The sequence below is a fragment of the Homo sapiens genome, chromosome 13 (assembly GCF_000001405.40).
Source record: "Homo sapiens chromosome 13, GRCh38.p14 Primary Assembly".
NCBI classification, from domain to species: Eukaryota; Metazoa; Chordata; class Mammalia; order Primates; family Hominidae; genus Homo; species Homo sapiens.
Genome location: NC_000013.11, coordinates 81859965 through 81881249, shown reverse-complemented (window position 1 = coordinate 81881249; position 21285 = coordinate 81859965). Strand labels below are relative to the sequence as shown.

At 39.7% G+C, this 21285-nt stretch overlaps 2 annotated features.

Annotated features, from left to right (window-relative positions):
- Positions 5411 to 6097: an enhancer, noted in NCBI's record as "OCT4-NANOG-H3K27ac hESC enhancer chr13:82449288-82449974 (GRCh37/hg19 assembly coordinates)". NCBI's record gives its function as "activates a minimal SCP1, AML or CMV promoter by ChIP-STARR-seq in primed H9 embryonic stem cells {active_cell/tissue: H9 hESC(primed)}" and the evidence as "EXISTENCE:reporter gene assay evidence [ECO:0000049][PMID:30033119]".
- Positions 6098 to 6785: an enhancer, noted in NCBI's record as "OCT4-NANOG-H3K27ac hESC enhancer chr13:82448600-82449287 (GRCh37/hg19 assembly coordinates)". NCBI's record gives its function as "activates a minimal SCP1, AML or CMV promoter by ChIP-STARR-seq in primed H9 embryonic stem cells {active_cell/tissue: H9 hESC(primed)}" and the evidence as "EXISTENCE:reporter gene assay evidence [ECO:0000049][PMID:30033119]".

The following is a 21285-nucleotide window of genomic DNA, read 5'->3' as shown; positions in this document are numbered from 1 at the left end:
AGAAGGAATGTAAAACTCATATCACAGCTCATAGCTATCCCAATCAAAGAGGTATGTTTATTTCCATCAGTGTTTTGTCAAAGTCTGCTTGGAGGGGAGAGGGTAGTAATTCACTCTGGTCTCTCACATATGCAAGAGGATAGGAAAGTGGTGTGTCTGGTACACCACACTTTCTGCTTTATAGTTTTTCTGGGTTTGAAAGCAGAGTGGTGACCTGGCATAGGTGGATAATCAATTAAAAAAGAGAAAGACAACAATGGTTAGGAAAAATGAGGAGCACAGGCTGTATCCAATGTATCCATCCCATGTTCTACTTAGGTCCTTTTTTTTTGGCCCCTTCTTTATAATTAGGTGACAAACTATAAAATCTGGCCTCAATTATTTCCTATGAGGATAAAATGTCTTTTATTCTTCCAAAGGGAAACAAAAAGTTTTAAATTTAAAGGATTTCCCTCAAAGTGATGGTCATGTGTAATTTTCTGAAAGGCTAAGGTGAGAGAGCTAATAACAAAAACTACAGCCTCCATTGCTGCATCTGGTCCTAAGGCTGCAATTAATACTAATAATCTTCTTTCTCTATTGCACCTTTAAATGCCATTCGCTCTCCATATTTCACCTGATAAGTTGTTTGCCTGGCAGGATAATCCAGACTATCATTCTCCAAGTGCTCTCAGTTGTACTTGGTTTTGGGATTATAATAGTTTGGCATACCTAGTCATTATCACATATGGAGGTAGCAGTAATGTTACAATGAATCTCGGGTTTCACATTTAATCCTCCCAGCTTACATTGTGTAATAGCAACCATATCTCCTCCTGGCAATCAGAATCAATTACTTCAACCAATGCAGTGCTGGGCAGGTAATCTTCATAACTTCCAGTTTGCTGAAACCATTATTGTGTATTCTGCTAGAATCATCCCTAACACCACCCTCAGTAATGAATATATCTAAAATAGCAAAGACTGAGATTATAATATTTAGAATAAAAATCACCAGATGCTTTAGCAAGAGGACATATTACCAATTCCACATCTAAGTTCCAGGAACTATGTATACTAGCTCTAAGTAACACAGTGACTTTTATTTGATCCCAGATGCATGCTGTATCCTGAAAGATAATGCCCCCACAGTGCAGAGTCCCTTAGCCAAGTCTTCAGAAGTGTAATCCAATGTATATCAGGGTGGTTATTTCTGTGTTACTGGCTACATTGAAACACAAGAAAATCAGATTTCTATGATCTTATTATCACACCTCCTTTTCTGTAAAATGGAAAGTTTGGTCATAGATAATGTGTAGAACACTGTGCTAACAGATAATCCTAATGTTTAGATGGTGCTAACAGCAAAGGCGTCACCTTTTAAGTCTTGATTATAGACATTCATATTTCCACTCAGCCCTTTGACTCAGTAAATCAGATAGCATCTACTTCCTAATAGGCAGCACAAGGAGTATGGTCAGTTAACATAGCATTATTATTTCATCAGCTGTACTGAGGTCCTACTGGAACACCATATTCATTTTTTTCACAGAAGATATTTCTCTACCGCAGAAGTCATGATGGCTTTGCCCCCAAACCCTAAGATATATGTAGCTGGTAGCTTCTAAGATGCCCATGAATGATTTATGTCTCCTGTTGTTCCCAATGTCTAATCCTATCCCTTTGAGTGTGGACTGGATCTTGTGACTCATTTCTAGAAAATACACTGCTTTGACAGTTATGAGATATAACATCTGAAATTGGGTTACAAACCAATTCTGGCTTCCATCTTGTGTTCTCTCTCTCAGTCTCTTTCTCTCACTTGTTCAGAAGAAAAATTGTCTACCATGCTGAGAGCTGCCCTCTGGAGAGACCTGCATGGCAAGAGAGGTCTTTGACTAACAACTAATCAGAAACTAGGATTGTCATTCCAAAAGCTAATAGGAAACTGGCAATGGCAGTGTACATAATCCTGAGTACATCCCTTCTTCTACTTGAGCTTTCAGATGTGACCAGCCCTGGAACCTTGTGAGAGAAAGAATAAACACCTAGCAAAGCCATGGATAGAATCCTGACCCAAAAAAAAACACTGAGATAATAAACATTTATTGGTTAAAGCTACAGAGATTTGAGGTAATTTTTACACAGCAACAGATAATGAATACAAGTTCTGTGCTTCAACTCTTCTGTTGGGATTTGCCAGAAATATCACAATATCTTATCTACCGATTCTTTTAGTTACCTCACATCCATGGGATCATAGTACTCCAAAAGTAAAATGACTTGCACTGCAGCCTGGACCTGATATAGAGTCATTTCTTGCTCTTAACTCTACTCAAAACATTAACTGTCCAGATAACTCAATAATAGGACATAGCATATTCAACATCAATGTGTCATACATCTTAAAGGCAAGGAAATTCAACAGTTGTTGAGCATCTTTCTTAGTGGTATGATATACAAGAATCAGCATTGTATTTTTTACCTTAGCAGAAATATCATTATATGTTCCTGATGACTGGATCCTAAAACTTCACCTAATGGCAGACATCCTAATCTCCATGGGTTTATTTTCCAACCTCTGCTTCACATATTTCCTACAAAGTTTTCTTGTTTAATTACAACTTCTGAGTTATGAGTTAATATTATCAAATTAACATGATATTCAATTAACATGCTGTCATAATTTCAGTTATCTATTGTAAAGATCTACAGAATGATAATATAAATAATATCCCTGTGAAGTATATGAGCACAAAAACCTGGAGAGCTGATAGTACTGACTTAAATGAATAAAAGTATATTGCTGTCTCTGTCACATATTTTGATCATTCTTAATGATGAGCATGGACATGAGAGTATTGTGTAAATAAATACCAATATATCAAGTACAGTGCAGTAATTGAAATTTGTGAATTACTCCAGTAAACATATTACATTCTCCACAACAGTTAAATTTGAGATTACAACATGACTAAATTCATGACAATATGTAGTCATTTGCTATGATACAGCTAAATTTATAGAGAACAGATAGATAAATTCAACAGAGATGAGATAGGACAATTGCCTTTTCAGATTTCACATCTATGTTGGTAACATTTACCTCTACAATCCCTTCCATAACACACCAGCGATTTTTGTTACTATCACGCCACAATTGGTTTACAGTCTTAAGGGCTTCCATTTGTTCTTCCTACTGCAATAAGCTTTCTTCTATAGATCAAGAACAAATGCTAGTATTCAACCTTCTGGTAACTATGTCTGTCCAATTATATGTTGATGAACCAGGACAATTAACTCAAGATCCCTTTAGGCACCTTCTGAAAACTTTATTTTTTAATATTCATTAGTTTCCACTCTAATTTTGGATTGTGATGATGTTTTGAGTCACTAGGCATTAGTGTTAGTTTGGATTTTATATGTTGTAAGGATCGGAATCCTTAAAAAGTCAGGATATTTACTTTTCTAAGTATATATTTGCCTTGGAAAACCATTACCTATCTATTTGAAAAGAATTGGAGAAATAATTAATACATAGATTTAGGTGAAGTTGCAGAGATCTTCCTCAAAGTGCTATTTATTCCACAAATATTGATCTCTGGCACTGTGGGTTCTGACCTGAGAAATAAGTGGACTGTGAGTTTTGTCATGGGTAATATCAGATACCTGCTTCTTGGCTGTCAAGGCTTTATAATTATGCAAATTAGGGAGCACTTTGGGTGGCTTCTATTTATGATGCCTCTGAAAATCCATGATCTATTAGCAACCACTTAAGTTATGATTCTACCTGGCTTTGCAAATCAGATAATATGCTAGAAGATAAACACACACACACACACACACACACATACATTTGGAGTAGAGGAGAGAGAAAGAGAGGAGAAAATCAGACTTGTAGCAGTAGCAGTAGTGATAGGTTTTATGAGTGCTGGCTGTGTAAAATAGCCAGACTAAGCTTCATGGAAAAAGTAACATCCGAGTAAAGATTGAAAGGGAGGAAATTGGTCAAGTGATAAGTAGCTATCAGGAGTTAGAGGCTTCCCAACAGACAAACAGCTAAAGAAAATGTCCCAAAACAGGAATTTTTTTTCACATTTGCAAGATTAGCAGGACCAATATAATCACAGTGACTCCACTGTGATAAGCAAGATAACAGGCCATGAAGGGAGATGATGCCAATTTGTGTACTACCTTGCCGACCATTTTAAGGTATTTGAGTATAATGCTGTCTTAAAATAATAATAATACATCTGAATGAGAGATAGAAGAGACAGAATTGTGCTTAATAGCAAGAACTCTGTAAGCATTGCACCCACCTCTAAACACTTGATATTTGCTTATCAGCTGAGCAACTTTGAACAGTTTTTATTTAAGAAAAATATGTAATTGACAAAGATTGAATATATTCAAGGTGAACAATGTGATGATTTGATATATGTGTATACTGTATAATGATTACCCTCAACAAATTTATTTAATGCATCTATCACCCATGCTGTACATTATAGCCCCAGAAATTGTTCATCTTATAACTGAAAATGTGTGCTTTGAGTAACATCTGTTTCCTCCATTCCTCATCCCCTGACAAGGACCACTCTATTCTTTGCTTCTATGAGTTATACTTTTTAAGATTTTATATAGAAGTTATGTTATGCAATATTTGTCTTTTTGTGTTAGCATAATGTCCTCCAGGCTCATCTATGTTGTTCCAAATTAGTTTTATTCTTTTTATGGCTGAATAATATTGCATTGCATACATATACTATGATTTCCTTATCCATTCATTCATTCATTCATGGACACTTGTTTCCGTATTTTAGCCATTCTGAATAATGTTCCAATGAACATGGGGATGCAGATATCCTTCTGAGATACTTATTTGATTTTCTCTGGATATATACTCAGAAATAGGATTGCTGAATTATATAGTACTTCTATTTTTATTGGGTTGAAGAACCTCCATATCATTTTCTATAACAGGTGTATCAATTTAGATTTCCACCAACAGTGTTCAAAGATTCCCTTTTCTCCACACCCTCATCAGTATTTGTCATGTCTAGTCTTTTTCATCATAATCATTCTAACAGGTATGAAGTAATATTTCATTGTGGTTTTGATGTACATTCAGTTAGTAATGGTGAGTACCTTTTTATATACCTATTTGTCATTTGTATATTTTGTTTGTATAAATGTTTAATCAGGTTCTTTGCCCATTTTAATTTAGGTATTTTTTTTTTTTTGCTGTTAAGCTGAGTGAGTTTCTTTTATATTTTTGTATTAGTACCTTATCAGATATATGGTTTGCAGATATTGTCTACCATTCCATAGGTTGCATTTTCTACCATTCTATAGGTTGCATTAATATTTTATGTAAAATAATCCATGATCATTCTTTCTGTTTTTCCATACATAATTTTGAACATCTGCTTTAAAGAGCTTTTTTTTTTTTAAAAAAAAAAAAACAGCTTAAAGCATATAAGTGTAACCTCCTGAAGAGTCTTCCTGCCCACTGTACAAAAAGCACAGCAATGCAGTAAAGAAAGAGTTTACTAGACATGAGGCCAGCCAGGCCATGTGGGAGATAAAGTAATTACTCAAATCAATCTCAACAAAAGCTCTTAGGTTACAGGTATTTTCAAAGGCAGTTTGCAGGAAGGGGTGAGGTGGCTAGGAAATGAGTGCTTGCTGCTGATTGGTTGGGGCAGAGATTAAATCACAGGGGGTCAAGGCTGTCTTCTGGAGATGAGTCACTCCTGGGTGGGGCCCCAGGAGTGGTTTGCCAAGTCCAAATGGAGCCATCAGGTGTCAGCCATGCAAAAAACCTGAAAAGATTTCTCAAAAGGCAGATCCACAATAGTGATGTTATCTGTAGGGGTAAGCAAGCGGGGAAGTTGCATATCTTGTGAGCAGTCTACACCCTAGCAGAATTCTGGCTCCTGAGTTCCCCCTAGCCTGGTGGTCTCTCATTAGCTTTACAAAGGCAGTTGAGTTTTGGGGAAGGCTATTATCATTTAAACTATAACGTAAATGTCTTCCAAAGCTAGCTTGGCCTAAGCCCAGAAATAATTAAGGCAGCTTGAAAGCTAAACGCGAGAGACAGGGGGTTGGCTAGATCAGATCTTCCCCACTGCCATAATGTTCTCGCTGATAGAATGTTTGCAAAGGTGGTTTCACAAGGGCAGTTTTGTTACATGGACATATTGTGTAGTTGTGAGGTCTGGGGTTTTAGAGCACCCTTTGCCCAATTAGTGAATATTCTACCAGATAGTAATTTTTCGATCTTCACCCCTCTCCACCCTCCTACCTTTTGGAATCTCCAGTATCTGTCATTTACTCTGTATGTCTAATTGTCATGCACGTCCCTGTGAAGAGACCACCAAACAGGCTTTGTGTGAGCAATAAAGCTTTTTAATCACCTGGGTGCAGGCGTGCTGAGACCGAAAAGAGTCAGTGAAGGGAGATAGGGGTGAGACCGTTTTATAGGATTTGGGTAGGTAGTGGAAAATTATAGGCAAAGGGGGTTGTTCTCTGGCAGGCAGGGGCAGGGGGTCACAAGGTGCTCAGTGGGGGAGCTTCTGAGCCAGGAGAAGGAATTTCACAAGGTAATGTCATCAGTTAAGGCAGGAATCGACCATTTTCACTTATTTTATGATTCTTCACTTGCTTCAGGCCATCTGAATGTATACGTGTGGGTCACAGGGGATGTGACGGCTTAGCTTGGGCTCAAAGTCCTGACATCTATGTGTACCCATTGTTTATATGTCACTTATAAGTTCAAACATGCAGTGTTTAACTTTACTTGTTTTTTTATTTATTCATTTACTCTGTATATCTATGTATACCCATTGTTTATCCACCACTTATAAGTGCAAACATGCGATGTTTAACTTTACTTGCTTTTTTATTTATTCTGTATCTCTATGTATACCCATTGTTTATCCACCACTTATAAGTGCAAACATGCAGTGTTTAACTTTCCATAATTATTAGCTATACTCTTTAATCTTGCTAATTCTGTTTAATCTATTCCTATTTATATTTTTAATATGCAGATTTTAGATTTTATAAATTCTAATGCATTATATTGTGAGATATTATAATTTCCTTATAACTAATTATATTAACTTGGCTTTAGATAGTAGACTTAAATAACTATCATAATGAAATGATCAAGTGGTTTTAAAGAATCACTTCGAAAGGAACCACAGGTTGAATGTAATTCTAAAAATACAATAAAACATTTAAATAAGAAAATAGCTGCTTTGAAACGTCTCTGCTACCAAAAGCTTATCATCAGCTCTATCGTGAAATTTAACCATTATAGGTTAAATTTATTGTAGGTTTAATATCATGTGAACCTAATATATAATAGGTTCACATGATAAATTAAGCAATTATTGCAAATTCATGAGGAAGGCTATTTAAAAATTGATTTCATTCAATATCTGTCTTCAACAGTGAAAGTCTTTTGTAAAGCATGTTTCTTTGAAAACATCTAGGATTAGAGAACTGGTGCTTTTGTAATACTGTGCCAGGTCATCCTGTTAGCACTAAGAATCATATCCAAGTCACGTCACCAAAGCATGTCACTGATCGCAAATCCATATGGTTCTGTAGCAACCTCAATCCTTGATTTCTTAGAAGAAAAAATTCAACTGAGGGGCATAAGGCATAAGGAGAGACTGAGGCAGGTTTTGAGCAGCAGTGATAGTTTATTAAAAAGTTTTAGAGCAGGAATGAATGAAAGTAAAGCCCACTTAGAAGAGGGCCAAGTAGGCAACTTGAGAGATCAACTGTACTGTTTGAATTTGGACTTGGGGTTTTATACATTGGCATACTTCTGGGGTCTTGCGTCTCTTTTCCCCTGATTCTTCCCTTGGGGTGCGCTGTCCGCATGTGCAGTGGCCTGCTAGGGTTTGGGAGGGGAACATGTGCAGTGTGCTTACTGGAGTTTTACCCATGCTCACTTGAGGCATTTTCCCCTTACTAGGCCAGTGTTCCTAGAGGAAGGTCATCCACCATTTTGCCTCTTAGTGTGCAAATAATTTGGTAGGTAGGGGGCCAGTAAGTCAGGAGTGCTAATTGGTTGGTTCAGAGCTGAAATCATAGGGAGTCAAAGCTGTCCTCTTCCACTGAGTCAGTTCCTGGGTTGGGGGGCCACAAGACCAGATGAGACCATTTATCAGTCTGAGTGGTGCCAGCTGATCCATCAAGCACAGGGTCTGCAAAATATTTCCATAGTGTGCAGGCTTGAGCCCACTTACTCAACTCTTGAGATTTTATCGAGAAGCTGCCAGTCACCAATTTCAGGATTTTTTATCTATTGGGAGACTGCCTTTCCCTGGTGCTGGCTGTGACAAATTATTATTTTAGAGAGACAGTTAACAATTGCCTGACCATCACTTGATGGTCACCCGACGTTCCTGGTGTGTGTGTTTGGGTGGGGGAAGTCCTCTCCTGCTCTGCTCATATCTGACTAGCTACCACCTATAATTCCTTTGTGGTGCTAATCATGAAATGAAGGGTAGGGGGCAGCAAAAGTCTTTCACGTGTCTGTGGTAGGTAAAATTTTGAACTAATTGAGAGATGAATGTTACAGATGCTCTATCTTTCATACATTAGTCTCTCTAGTACCTTATGTTTAAGACCTCTTAAAAGCAGCATAAAGATTTTATTGTGATTTGTTTTATTTTCTCCTTTCTATAACTCTTCTGATTTAATTCGAGTATTATTAGTTTGCTCACATTTACTGAAATTATTGATATATTTAGATTCATGAGGGTTATTATTCTTTGTTCCACCTGTTTTCGTTTCTCTTTTTTTCTCTTTTACCTTTTCATGCGCATCCGTGTGAAGAGACCCCCAAACAGGCTTCGTGTGAACAATAAAACTTTTAATCACCTGGGTGCAGGCGGGTTGAATCCGAAAAGAGAGTCAGCGAAGGGAGATAGGGGTGGGGCCATTTTATAAGATTTGAGTAGGTAAAGGAAAATTACAGTCAAAGGGGGGTTGTTCTCTGGCGGGCAGGGGTGGGGGTCACAAGGTGCTCAGTGGGGAGCTTTTGAGGCAGCATGCGCCAGGAGAAGGAATTTCACAAGATAATGTCATCAGTTAAGGCAGGAACAGCCCATTTTCATTTCTTTTGTGGTGGAATGTCATCAGTTAAGGCAGGCACCAGCCATCTGGATGTGTACGTGCAGGTCAGAGGGGATATGATGGCTTAGCTTGGGCTCAGAGGCCTGACATTCCTGTCTTCTTAGTGGTAAAGTGTTGGGACGGTGAAAATTTTGGGGGATGGTATTGAGAGATAATGGGCAATGTCTCTCAGGGCTGCTTTGAGCAGGATTAGGGGCAGCATGGGAACCTAGAGTTCCCAAGCTTAATCTCTGGAGAGATTAAGCTGAAGGAAGATTTTGTGGTAAGGGGTGATATTGTGGGACTGTTAGAAGAAACATTTGTCATTTAGAATTATTGGTGATGGCCTGGATATGGTTTTGTATGAATTGAAAAACTAAACGGAATACGAGAAGGAGAAAAACAGGTATTAAAGGTGTAAGAATTGGGAGGACCCAGGACATCTGATTAGAGAGTGCCTAAGGAGATTCAGCATAGTCCTGCCAGTAAAGATTATTTATTTACTTCAAGAGTTAAGAGTGGCAGTTTGGGGATAGCACCGGGAGATATCAGCTGTGATGGCTTGGAGAAACAGTGTAAACCGGCAGTGTAAACAAGAGCAGGGCATGTATGAGTAGTTGAGAACGGTGAATAGGAGTATGACTAGACAGAAGATAGTAGGGATGACAAGTTTTCTGGGGCACAGTCCAAGTTGGTCTGGTGTCTGGAATGAGACTGGGGCTTAATAAAAAGGAACATCTATACAGGAGCTCAAATGGGCTGTACCCTGTAGCATTCCAAGGACAGGCCTGAATTCTGAGAAGGGAAAGTGGTAAAAGTATTGTCCAGTCCTCTTTAAGTTGGTGGCTGAGCTTGGTGAGGTGTGTTTTTAAAAGACCTTTAGTCTGTTCTACTTTTCCTGAAGACTGAGGACCATAAGGGATATAAAGGTTTCACTGGATACTAAGAGCCTGAAAAAACGCTTGGCTGATTTGACTAATAAAGGCTGGTCTACTATCGGACTGTACAGAGTTGGGAAGGCCAAACCGAGGAATTATGTCTGACAGAAGGGAAGAAATGACAGTGGTGGCCTTCTCGGACCTTGTAGGAAAGGCCTCTACCTATCCAGTGAAAGTGTCTACCTAGACTAGGAGGTCTTTTAGTTTTCTGACTCGGGGCATGTGAGTAAAGTCAATTTGCAGTCTTGGGCAGGAGCAAATCCTCTAGCTTGATGTGTAGGAAAGGGAGGAGGCCTGAACAATCCCTGAGGGGTAGTAGAATAGCAAATGGAACACTGAGTAGTGATTTCCTTGAGGATAGATTTCCAGGATGGAAAGGAAATGAGAGGTTCTAAGAGATGGGCTAGCGGCTTGTAACCTACACGGAAGAGGTTATGAAATGACGACAGAATAGAATGGGCCTGTGAGGCTGGAAGGAGATATTTTCCTTGGTCTCAGAACCATTTGCCTTGTGTGGGAAGAGATTGATAGGTGGAAGTTTCAGCGGGGGTGTAGGTGGGAGTGACTGATGTGAAGGAGAAAATCTGGCTGTGAGGGACAGAAAGTGGAAAGCTAGCTGCTTGTCAAGCCACCTTATCAGCATAAGCGTTGCCTAGAGCAATGGGATCTGATGCCATTTGATGGCCTTTGCAGTGAATGACTCCAGCTTCCTTTGGAAGTAAAGCAGCCTTGAGTAGAGTTTTTATTAAAGAGACATTAATGATGGAGGACCCTTGTGTAGTGAGGAAACCTCTTTCAGCCTATATAGCAGCATGGTGGTGCAGAATATGAAAGGCATATTTAGATTCAGTGTAAATATTGACGCGTAGTCCTTTTGCAAGAGTGAGGGCTTGAGTTAAGGCAACTAATTCGGCTTACTGAGAGGTAGTGGAGGGGAACAGAGCGGTAGCCTCAATAACAGATGTGGAAGATATTATTGCATAGCCTGCCTTTGCTGGTGAGTGGCGATTAGGCCTGGTGGAACTGCCATCAATAAACCAAGTGTGATCAGGTTTAGAAACAGGGAAGAAGAAAATGTGGGGAGTTGGGGTGAACGTCAGGTGGATCAGAGAGATGCAGTCATGAGGGTCAGGTGTGGTATCCGGAATAACGTGGGAGGCTAGATTGAAGTTCATGCCAGGAACAATGGTAATTGTGGGAGACTCAACAAAGAGTGAGTATAGCTGAAGGAGCTGGGGAGCAGAAAGTATATGCGTCAGGTGTGAGGAAGAAAATAGATTTTGGAAGTTATGAGAAATGTAGAGTGAGTTGAGCATAGTTTGTGATTTTGAGGGCCTCTAAAAGTATTAAAGCAGCGGCAGCCGCTGCACGCAGACATGAGGGCTAGGCTAAAACAGTAAGGTCAAGTTGTTTGCACAGAAAGGCTACAGGGTGCGGTCGCAGCTCTTGCGTAAGAATTCTGCCCGCACTAACCATGCCTAGGAAGGAAACGAGTTGTTGTTTTGTAGAAGGGATTGGGGTTTGGGAGATTAGCCGGACACGATCAGCAGGGAGAGCACATGTGTTTTTATGAGAATTATGCCGAGATAGGTAACAGATGAGGAAGAAATTTGGGCATGACTGAAGTAATGGGGGCTGTCTGTGAAGACTTGCGGCAGTACAGCCCAGGTAATTTGCTGAGCCTGATGGGTGTCACGGTCAGTCTAAGTGAAAGCAAAGAGAGGCTGGGATGAAGGGTGCAAAGGAATAGTAAAGAAAGCATGTTTGAGATCTAGAACAGAATAATGGATTGTGGAGGGAGGTATTGAGGATAGGAGAGTATATGGGTTTGGCACCAAGGGGTGGATAGGCAAAACAATTTGGTTGATAAGGCGCAGATCTTGAACTAACCTGTAAGCCTTGTCTGGCTTTAGAACAGGTGAAACGGGGGAATTGTAAGGGGAGTTTATAGATTTTAGAAGCCCATGCTGTAGTAGGTGAGTGATAACAGGATTTAATCCTTTTAAAGCGTGCTGTAGGATGGGATATTGGCGTTGAGTGGGGTAAGGGTGATTAGGTTTTAATGGGATGGTAATGGGCATGTGATCGGTTGCCAGGGAAGGAGTCGAGATATCCCATACTTGTGGGTTAAGGTAGGGCGATACGAGAGGAAGACACAAATAAGGCTTTGGGTTGGGGAGAAGGGCGGCAATGAGATGCAGCTGTAGGCTGTAGTCCAGGAATAGTCAGGGAAGCAGATAATTTAGTTAAAATGTCTTGGTCTAATAAGGGAACTGGGCAGGTGGGGATAATTAAAAAAGAGTGCATAAAGGAATGTTTTCTAAGTTGGCACCAGAGTTGGGGAGTTTTAAGAGGTTTAGAAGCCTGGCTGTCAATACCCACAACAGTTATGGATGCAAGGGAAACAGGCCCTTGAAAAGAAGGTAATGTGGAGTGGGTAGCCTCTGTATTGACTAAGAAGGGGACGGACTTACTCTCCACTGTGAGAGTTATCCAGAGCGTCTGTGATGGTCCTGTAGGCTTCCAAGGCAATCAGGCACTGTCAGTCTTCAGCTGCTAAGCCAAGAAGATCTGGGAAGGAGTCAGTCAGAGAGCCTTGGGCCAGAGTTCCAGGGGCTCTGGGAGTGGCTGCGAGGTGAGTTGAACAGTCTGATTTTTAGTGGGGTCCTGCACAGAGGGAACATGGCTTAGGAGGAATCCCGGGCTCTGGGCATTCCTCGGCCCAGTGGCCAGATTTCCAGCACTTGTAGCAAGCTTCTGGGGGAGGAGGTTCTGGAGGAACCCCTGGCAGCTGCGGTTTGGGCATTTGGAGTTCTTGTGTGCTGGAGATGTGGATGGGGTTTGTCTCACAGTGGAGGCAAGGAATTGCAACTTAGAAATACATTGCTACTTGGCTGCCTCTACTCTATTATTGTACACATTGAAGGTGAGGTTAATTAAGTCCTGTTGTGGGGTTTGAGGGCTGGAATTTAATTTTTGGAGTTTTATTTAATGTCAGGAGCAGATTGGGTAATAAAACGTATATTGAGAATGAGATGGCCTTTTGACCTTTTAGAGTCTAGGGCTGTAAAGTGGTCTCAGGGTTGCTGCCAAAGGAGCCATGAACTGGGCTGGGTTTTTCATATTTGATGAAAGATCCTAAATGCTAACTGATTTGGGAGAGGTCGGATAAAGAAAAAGGAGCATTAACCTTGACTATGCCTTTAGCTGCAGCCACCTTTTTAAGAGGAAATTGCTGGGCAGGTGGGGGAGGGCTAGTCGTGGAATGAAACTGTAAGCCGGACCAGGTGTGAGGAGGGGAGGTGATAAAAGGATTATAGGGTTGGGGAGTAGAGGATGAGGAAGAATTGGGACCTGGCTTGGCCTGGTGAGGGGCAGCCTGGGGAGGAGGGGAGAGGTCAGACGGGTCTGTAGAAAAGGAAGATTAGAAAGACTCAAGGACACCTGGGGTTGGGACTGAGAGAACAGGCGGGAGAGAAAGAAGGAGGATTTGGGATGAGTCGCATTGGGAACAGAGAGTAGGGAGGGAACAATGTGTAATAGAATGCCTGGACATCAGGCACCTCAGACCGTTTGCCCATTTTATGACAAGAATTTTTTAGGTCTTGTAGGATGGAGAAATCGAAAGTGCCATTTTCTGGCCATGGAGAGCCATTGTCAAGTTTGTATTGGGGCCAAGCAGTGTTGCAGAAGAAGATAAGGCATTTAGGTTTTAGGTCAGGTGTGAATTGAAGAGGTTTTAAGTTCTTGGGAACACAGGCTAAGGGAGAAGAAGGAGGAATAGAGGGTGGAAAGTTGCCTATAGTGAAGGAGGCAAGCCCAGAGAAAAGAGAGAGACATGGAGGGAAGGGGTTCGGGGGTTCTTACCCTCCAGAAAAGCGGGAAAGGGGTCAGGATGTGGAAATAAGGGGTTGGGGCACAGAGATAAGAGTTTGGGGTGCAGAGATAAGAGGTTGGGGCACAGAAATAAGGGGTCAGGGTGTGGAAATAAGGGATCGGGGCACAAAGATAAGAGGTCAGGGTGCAGAAATAAGGGATTGGGGTATAGAGATAAGAGGTCGGGGCATGGAAATAAGGGAACGGGGTTCTTGCCCCCTAGAAAAGTGTTACTTGCTGCTAAGGGTGAAGGAGAAGGGGTTGGGGGGTTCTTGCCACCCAAAAAAGCAGAAAAGGGGTAGAGACCCAGACAGAAGGGGTCGGGGTTCTTGCCCCTCCCCCAGAAAAGCGGGACTTGCCGCTAAGGGTGAAGGACCAAGGCAGGCGTCCCCGCGTGGTCAGACACCTCTGAAACGTGGGTGAATAATCAGAGAGGCGTCCTTGCAATGATTAAACACCAAGGGAAGGCTGCCTTCCCAAGTCCGTGACCGGTGCTGGAGTTTTGGGTCCATGGATAAAATGCGTCTCCTTTGTCTCTACCAGAAAATGAAAGGAATTGAAATTAAGAGAAGGGAGAGATTGAAGGGTGGCGCCAGGATTGAAAGGAGAAAGTGGTTGAGGGATAGTGAGAAAGGTTGGAGAAGAGAGTAAGAAGAGGCCGCTTACCTGATTTAAAATTGGTGAGATGTTCTTTGGGCTGGTGGGTCTGAGGACCCGAGGTCATAGGTGGATCTTTTTCACAGAGCAAAGAGCAAGAGGACAGGGGATTGATCTCCCAAGGGAGGTCCCCAAATCCGAGTCACGGCACCAAATTTCATGCACATCCATGTGAAGAGACCACCAAACAGGCTTTGTGTGAGCAATAAAGCTTTTAATCACCTGGGTGCAGGTGGGCTGAGTCCAAAAAGAGAGTCAGTGAAGGGAGATAGGGTTGGGGCCATTTTATAAGATTTGGGTAGGTAAAGGAAAATTACAGTCAAAGGGGGGTTGTTCTCTGGCGGGCAGGAGTGGGGGTCACAAGGTGCTCAGAAGGGGAGCTTTTGAGCCAGGATGAGCCAGGAGAAGGAATTTCACAAGATAGTGTCATCAGTTAAGGCAGGAACAGGCCATTTTCATTTCTTTTGTGGTAGAATGTCATCAGTTAAGGCAGGAACCAGCCATCTGGATGTATACGTGCATGTCACAGGGGATATGATGGCTTAGCTTGGGCTCAGAGGCCTGACATACTTCTTGTAGATTAGTCCAGCATGTTTTTATTCATGAATCTTTCCATTTATTTTCTTGTTTCATATTTATTTTATTTTATTCATTTGTTCTAGAATTACAATGCTCATATATGACTTATGGAAATCTTCCTTAGAATTATGTTTATTTATTTTTCTATATGTACTTTCCTTTCAATACATGCAAATCAATGATTATATTTTATTCTTTGTTCTACTGTTATGTAAATTCTGAATGTTAAATAGGTTAATAATTTTTTATTTAAGCTGACCATATTCATTTAGAATTACCCACAATTACAAATTACATTTTTTTTTCTTCTTTCACAAATTATTGCATTTCCAGATGGGATCATTTCCTTTTGCCTGATGAAATATTTCACTTTCATTTTTAATGCATGTTTCCTGGAAATAATTTCTATCATATTTAGTTTATGTAAAATGTCATTATTTCACTTATACTTTAAAGTGCATTTTCCCTGGCTATAGATTTCTAGCTGTCAAGATTTTGTTTTTCTGGCTTCTTTTTGTCAGCATTTTAAAAACATCATTTCATTTTTCTCCTGGCTTCCATTATTTTTGTTGTAAAGTTACTCATTGGTATCATTTTTCTTCCTTTTCCTATTTCTCTGATTTTTATCAATGTTCTAATGTCATTTTTCCATACTTTTCCTATTTGAGTTTCAATAAGTTTTAAAAATTAGTGAATCATGGCTTTCATAATTTTCAAAAATTTGTTATTTCCTACAATGCTTTTGAGTCATTCTCTGTGTCCTTGCCTTCCAGAATTTCAATTATATGCACATTACACCTTTATTTAAAATATGTATTTAATATCATGTTTCTGAATTGTATTTCTTTTATGTTTATATACTTCAGTTTTAGTATATTATAATGACTCTCTTACTCTCACCAATCCTCTCTTCTGTTATGTCAAATCTCTTATTAAATCAATACATTACATTTTAAATCTTATATTTTCAGTTCTAGATTTTTCATTTGACTCTTTCATATAGATTTTCATTTTCATTGGGACTTCTTCATCATTTCCTATATTTCGTTGAACATGTTGGTATTTTAAAAACCCTTTGATATATCTAAAATTTGGATTACCTTGGTTGCTTTGTTTTTGCTTTGTTTGTTTTAATTATGTTTATTTCTTTGATAATCTATCACTTGGTCATTTCTCGTGATCTTCAATTGACTGCTATAGTTTATATGTGAAAAATTATTAATGCTCAGGTTATAGTAGTATGATAGACTATTAGAAATCCATCTTGATGTGTAACCACCCAATAGGTTCTCCTTGCCCACTGCCTACACAGAGCCAGTTTATCAAGACAGGGGAATTGCAATAGAGAAAGAGTAATTCATGCAGAGCCAGCCACATGGGAGACTGGAGTTTTATTATTACTCAAAGCAGCTTCCCTGAGAATTTGGGGATTGGCGTCTTTAAGGATAATTTGGTAGGTAGGGGGCCAGTGAGTAAGGAGTGCTAACCGGTTGGGTCAGAGATGAAATCACAGGGAGTCGAAGCTGTCCTCTTACATGGAGTCAGTTCCTGGGTGGGGGGGGCACAAGACCTGATGAGACCATTTATCAATCTGGGTGATGCCAGCTGATCCATCAAGTACAGGGTCTGCAAAATATTCCATCGCCAATTTTGAGTTTCTCAATGGTGATGTTATCCCCTGGAGCAATTTAGATATTGAGAATTTTGCAGCCTCCAGTCTGGACAGCTGGACAGTCAAGGAATCCAGCTACATGACTCCTAAACCATGATTTCTAATCTCATGGTTAATTTGTTGGTCCGGCAAAGGCAGTCTAGTCCCCAGGCAGAAAGGGTTTTATTTGGGGAAAGGGCTGTAATCATCTTTATTTTGAAGTTAAACTATAAATTAAGTTCCTCCCAAAGTTAGTTTGGCCTAAGCCGAGGAATGAACAAGGACAGCTTGAAGGTTACAAGCAAGATGGAGTTGGTTAGGTTAGATCTCTTTCACTGTCATGATTTTCTTAGTTATAATTTTTGCAAAGATGTTTTCACGTACAGGTGAACATGGTTTTTGTACTTTGTTCAGATTTACTTCTGTTGATTTTTTCCTACCTTTGGAAACCTCTATTCTTCCAGAGAATTTTTTCGGTTCTCCTGTGAAAGTAAGTTTCTGGTATTACTAGGATTCCTGCCATTTACTCATACTTGAATTCCAAATTCTGCCTTCTCAGAATGACAAAACTGCTGAAATCTTTGTCGGAGTTTAGCCTCCAAGAGGTGTTGGTTAGCTAGCTTTCATAGAGTCTTATCTTACACACCTTTAGCATAGGCACTAGAAAGGCTTGAAAGTAAAATTGCATTCAGAATTTTAGTCATACTTTTCTGGAGTTCTCTCTTCCCCTTTAAGTTTTAGTTTCCTTGGGAGTTCTGAACTCCAACCCATATATCAACTCCCTATGAGATGGCAGCAGGTTTCATCACTTTCTGTTTGTCTTTTATTCACTGAACTACACATTGGAAAAAGCCTATGTAAAAAGGATGGAATGGAATGTGGGTCACTGTGGTGCTCAACCATTCTCTCTCAGACTTCTAGACACCAAAGTCATAATGTCCTGCTTTTTCGCTGAACCCCTCAAAAAGTTGTTTCCCATATTATTGAGGTTTCACAGTAGTTTGGCATACAATTGTTTATCTAATGCTAGCTCTTTTGTCATAGTTGAAACTAAAATGTCCCAAACCCCAATTTTTATTACCTGAGACTCTTGAAATTACTGAGAGCTTTCCCCAGATTCTCAGAATCACAAAGCTACTTAGGCTGGGGGTAAATAACAATCATTTGGTCAGAGATTAAGTTAATTTGAGTATCAAGATTATCATTTATAAGACCGGATCCATTTACAGTTGCCTTTACTTTTACCCTTTAGCGTTGTAGATTGCAACTGAAAGCCTAAGTAGCCCACAGACTTACAATTTTTTTTTTTTTTGACACAGAGTCTCATGTTTTTGCTGAGGCTGGAGTGCAGTGATGCTATCTCGGCTCACTGCAAGCTCTGGCTCCGAGGTTCACGCCATTCTCCTGCCTCAGTCTCCCGAGTAGCTGGGACTACAGGCACCCGCCATCACGCCCGGCTAATTTTTTTTTTTTTTTTGTATTTTTACTAGAGACGGGGTTGCACCGTGTTGGCCAGGCTGGTCTCGAACTCCTGATCTCAGATGATCCACTTAACTCAGCCTCCCAAAGTGCTGGGATTAGAGGTGTGAGCCACCACTCCCTGCCCACAGACTCTTGATATTGTTACAAGAATTATGATTTCTGTCTTCCCTGCAAAGCACTGTTATGTTTCTCAGATTCTTTTTTTTTTTTTTGGCCTTTATTTTTTTTTTTTTAATTTTTTTATTATGCTTTAAGTTCTAGGGTACATGTGCACAACATGCAGGTTTGTTACATATATATACATGTTCCATGTTGGTGTGCTGCACCCATTAACTGATCATTTACATTAGGTATATCTCCTAATGCTATCCCTTTCCCCTCCCCCCACCCCACAACAGTCCCCGGTGTGTGATGTTGCCCTTCCTGTGTCCAAGTGTTCTCATTGTTCAATTCCCACCTATGAGTGAGAACATGCGGTGTTTGGTTTTTTGTCCGTGCAATAGTTTGCTGAGAATGAAGGTTTCCAGCTTCATCCATGTCCCTACAAAGGACATGAACTCATCATTTTTTATGGCTGCATAGTATTCCATGGTGTATATGTGCCACATTTTCTTAATCCAGTCTATCATTGATGGACATTTGGGCTGGTTCCAAGTCTTCGCTATTGTGAATAGTGCTGCAATAAACAGATGTGTGCATGTGTCTTTATAGCATCAAGATTTATAATCCTTTGGGTATATACCCAGTAATGGGATGGCTGGGTCAAATGGTATTTCTAGTTCTAGATCCTTGAGGAATCGCCACACTGTCTTCCACAATGGTTGAAACAGTTTACAGTCCCACCAACAGTGTAAAAGTGTTCCTATTTCTCCACATCCTCTCCAGCACCTGTTGTTTCCTGACTTTTTAATGATTGCCATTCTAACTGGTGTGAGATGGTATCTCATTGTGGTTTTGATTTGCGTTTCTCTGATAGCCAGTGATGATGAGCATTTTTTCATGTGTCTATTGGCTGCATAAATGTCTTCTTTTGAGAAGTGTCTGTTCATATCCTTTGCCCACTTTTTGATGGGGTTGTTTTTTTCTTGTAAATTTGTTTGAGTTCTTTGTAGATTCTGGATATTAGCCCTTTGTCAGATGAGTAGGTTGCAAAAATGTTCTCCCATTCTGTAGGTTGCCTGTTCACTCTAATGGTAGTTTCTTTTGCTGTGCAGAAGCTCTTTAGTTTAATTAGATCCCATTTGTCAATTTTGGCTTTTGTTGCCATTGCTTTTGGTGTTTTAGACATGAAGTCCTTGCCCATGCCTATGTCCTGAATGGTATTGCCTAGGTTTTCTTCTAGGGTTTTTTGGTTTTAGGTGTAACATTTAAGTCTTTAATCCATCTTGAATTAATTTTTGTAGAAGGTGTAAGGAAGGGATCCAGTTTCAGCTTTCTACATATGGCTAGCTAGTTTTCCCAGCACCATTTATTAAATAGGGAGTCCTTTCCTCATTGCTTGTTTTTATCGGTTTGTCAAAGATCAGATAGTTGTAGATGCGTGGTATTATTTCTCAGGGCTCTGTTCAGTTCCATTGGTCTATATCTCTGTTTTGGTAGCAGTACCATGCTGTTTTGGTTACTGTAGCCTTGTAGTATGGTTTGAAGTCAGGTAGCGTGATGCCTCTAGCATTATTCTTTTGGCTTAGGATTGACTTGGTGACATGGGCTCTTTTTTGGTTCCATATGAACTTTAAAGTAGTGTTTTCCAATTCTGTGAAGAAAGTCATTGGTAGCTTGATGGGGATGGCATTGAATCTATAAATTACCTTGGGCAGTATGGCCATTTTCACGATATTGATTATCCCTATCCATGAGCATGGAATGTTCTTCCATTTGTTTGTGTCCTCTTTTATTTTGTTGAGCAGTGGTTTGTAGTTCTCCTTGAAGAGGTTCTTCACATCCATTGTAAGTTGGATTCCCAGGTATTTTATTCTCTTTGAAGCAATTGTGAATGGGAGTTCACTCATGATTTGGCTCTCTGTTTGTCTGTTATTGGTGTATAAGAATGCTTGTGATTTTTGCACATTGATTTTGTATCCTGATACATTCCTGAAGTTGCTTATCAGCTTAAGGAGATTTTGGGCTGAGACGATGGGGTTTTCTAAATATACAATCATGTCATCTGCAAACAGGGACAATTTGACTTCTTCTTTTCCTAATTGAATACCCTTTATTTCTGTCTCTTGCCTGATTGCCTGGCCAGAACTTCCAACACTATGTTGAATAGGAGTGGTGAGAGAGGGCGTCCCTGTCTCAGATTCTTGACCACCACTTGTGATTTGCTTCAAGGTGAAAAGTGGCTCTGAATTTAGTGCTTGCCTATTTGTGTTCTATATAATGATTATCACCTAAAGTTATTGCTTTGTTGGGTTGACAAGGTTGTGTTTTATTTACTAGATAATTATTTTTTAACATAACAAAACAATTGGAGTTGGATTGCTAATATTTTTGTATCCCTACAATCTCCACTTTTATTATTGGTTATCAGTTTTACAAAATAAAAAGAAAAAGTCATTAAAGCAAATGTTTCCATTCACAATTTTATTAAACAATATTTTTCTGTTCATACATCACATTATATTTGTAGCAGATTAAATTCTGAAAAAGGCACAGAAGAGATAATATGTCTTAAATTAGTTAAAAGCTTTTAAGTTAAAAATATATACATATAATATACAGTATGAGATGTGTGAATTGGAATTATAAAACAAAAACATGTAATTATTTCAGAGAGATTAATTATGAGGCACCTGAAATATTACTTATTTACTAATACTTTAAAATTCATGTCATTTCATTGTATGCTTAAAAATAATGAAATTGTGGGAGCTTCAAATTTATACAAACTTCATGAATAACAAACATTACTGCTACATCAATATTATTTTTCGTTGTCATTATTTAATTTATCATCCAAAACAGAAAATTTGTGAATATGAAAAG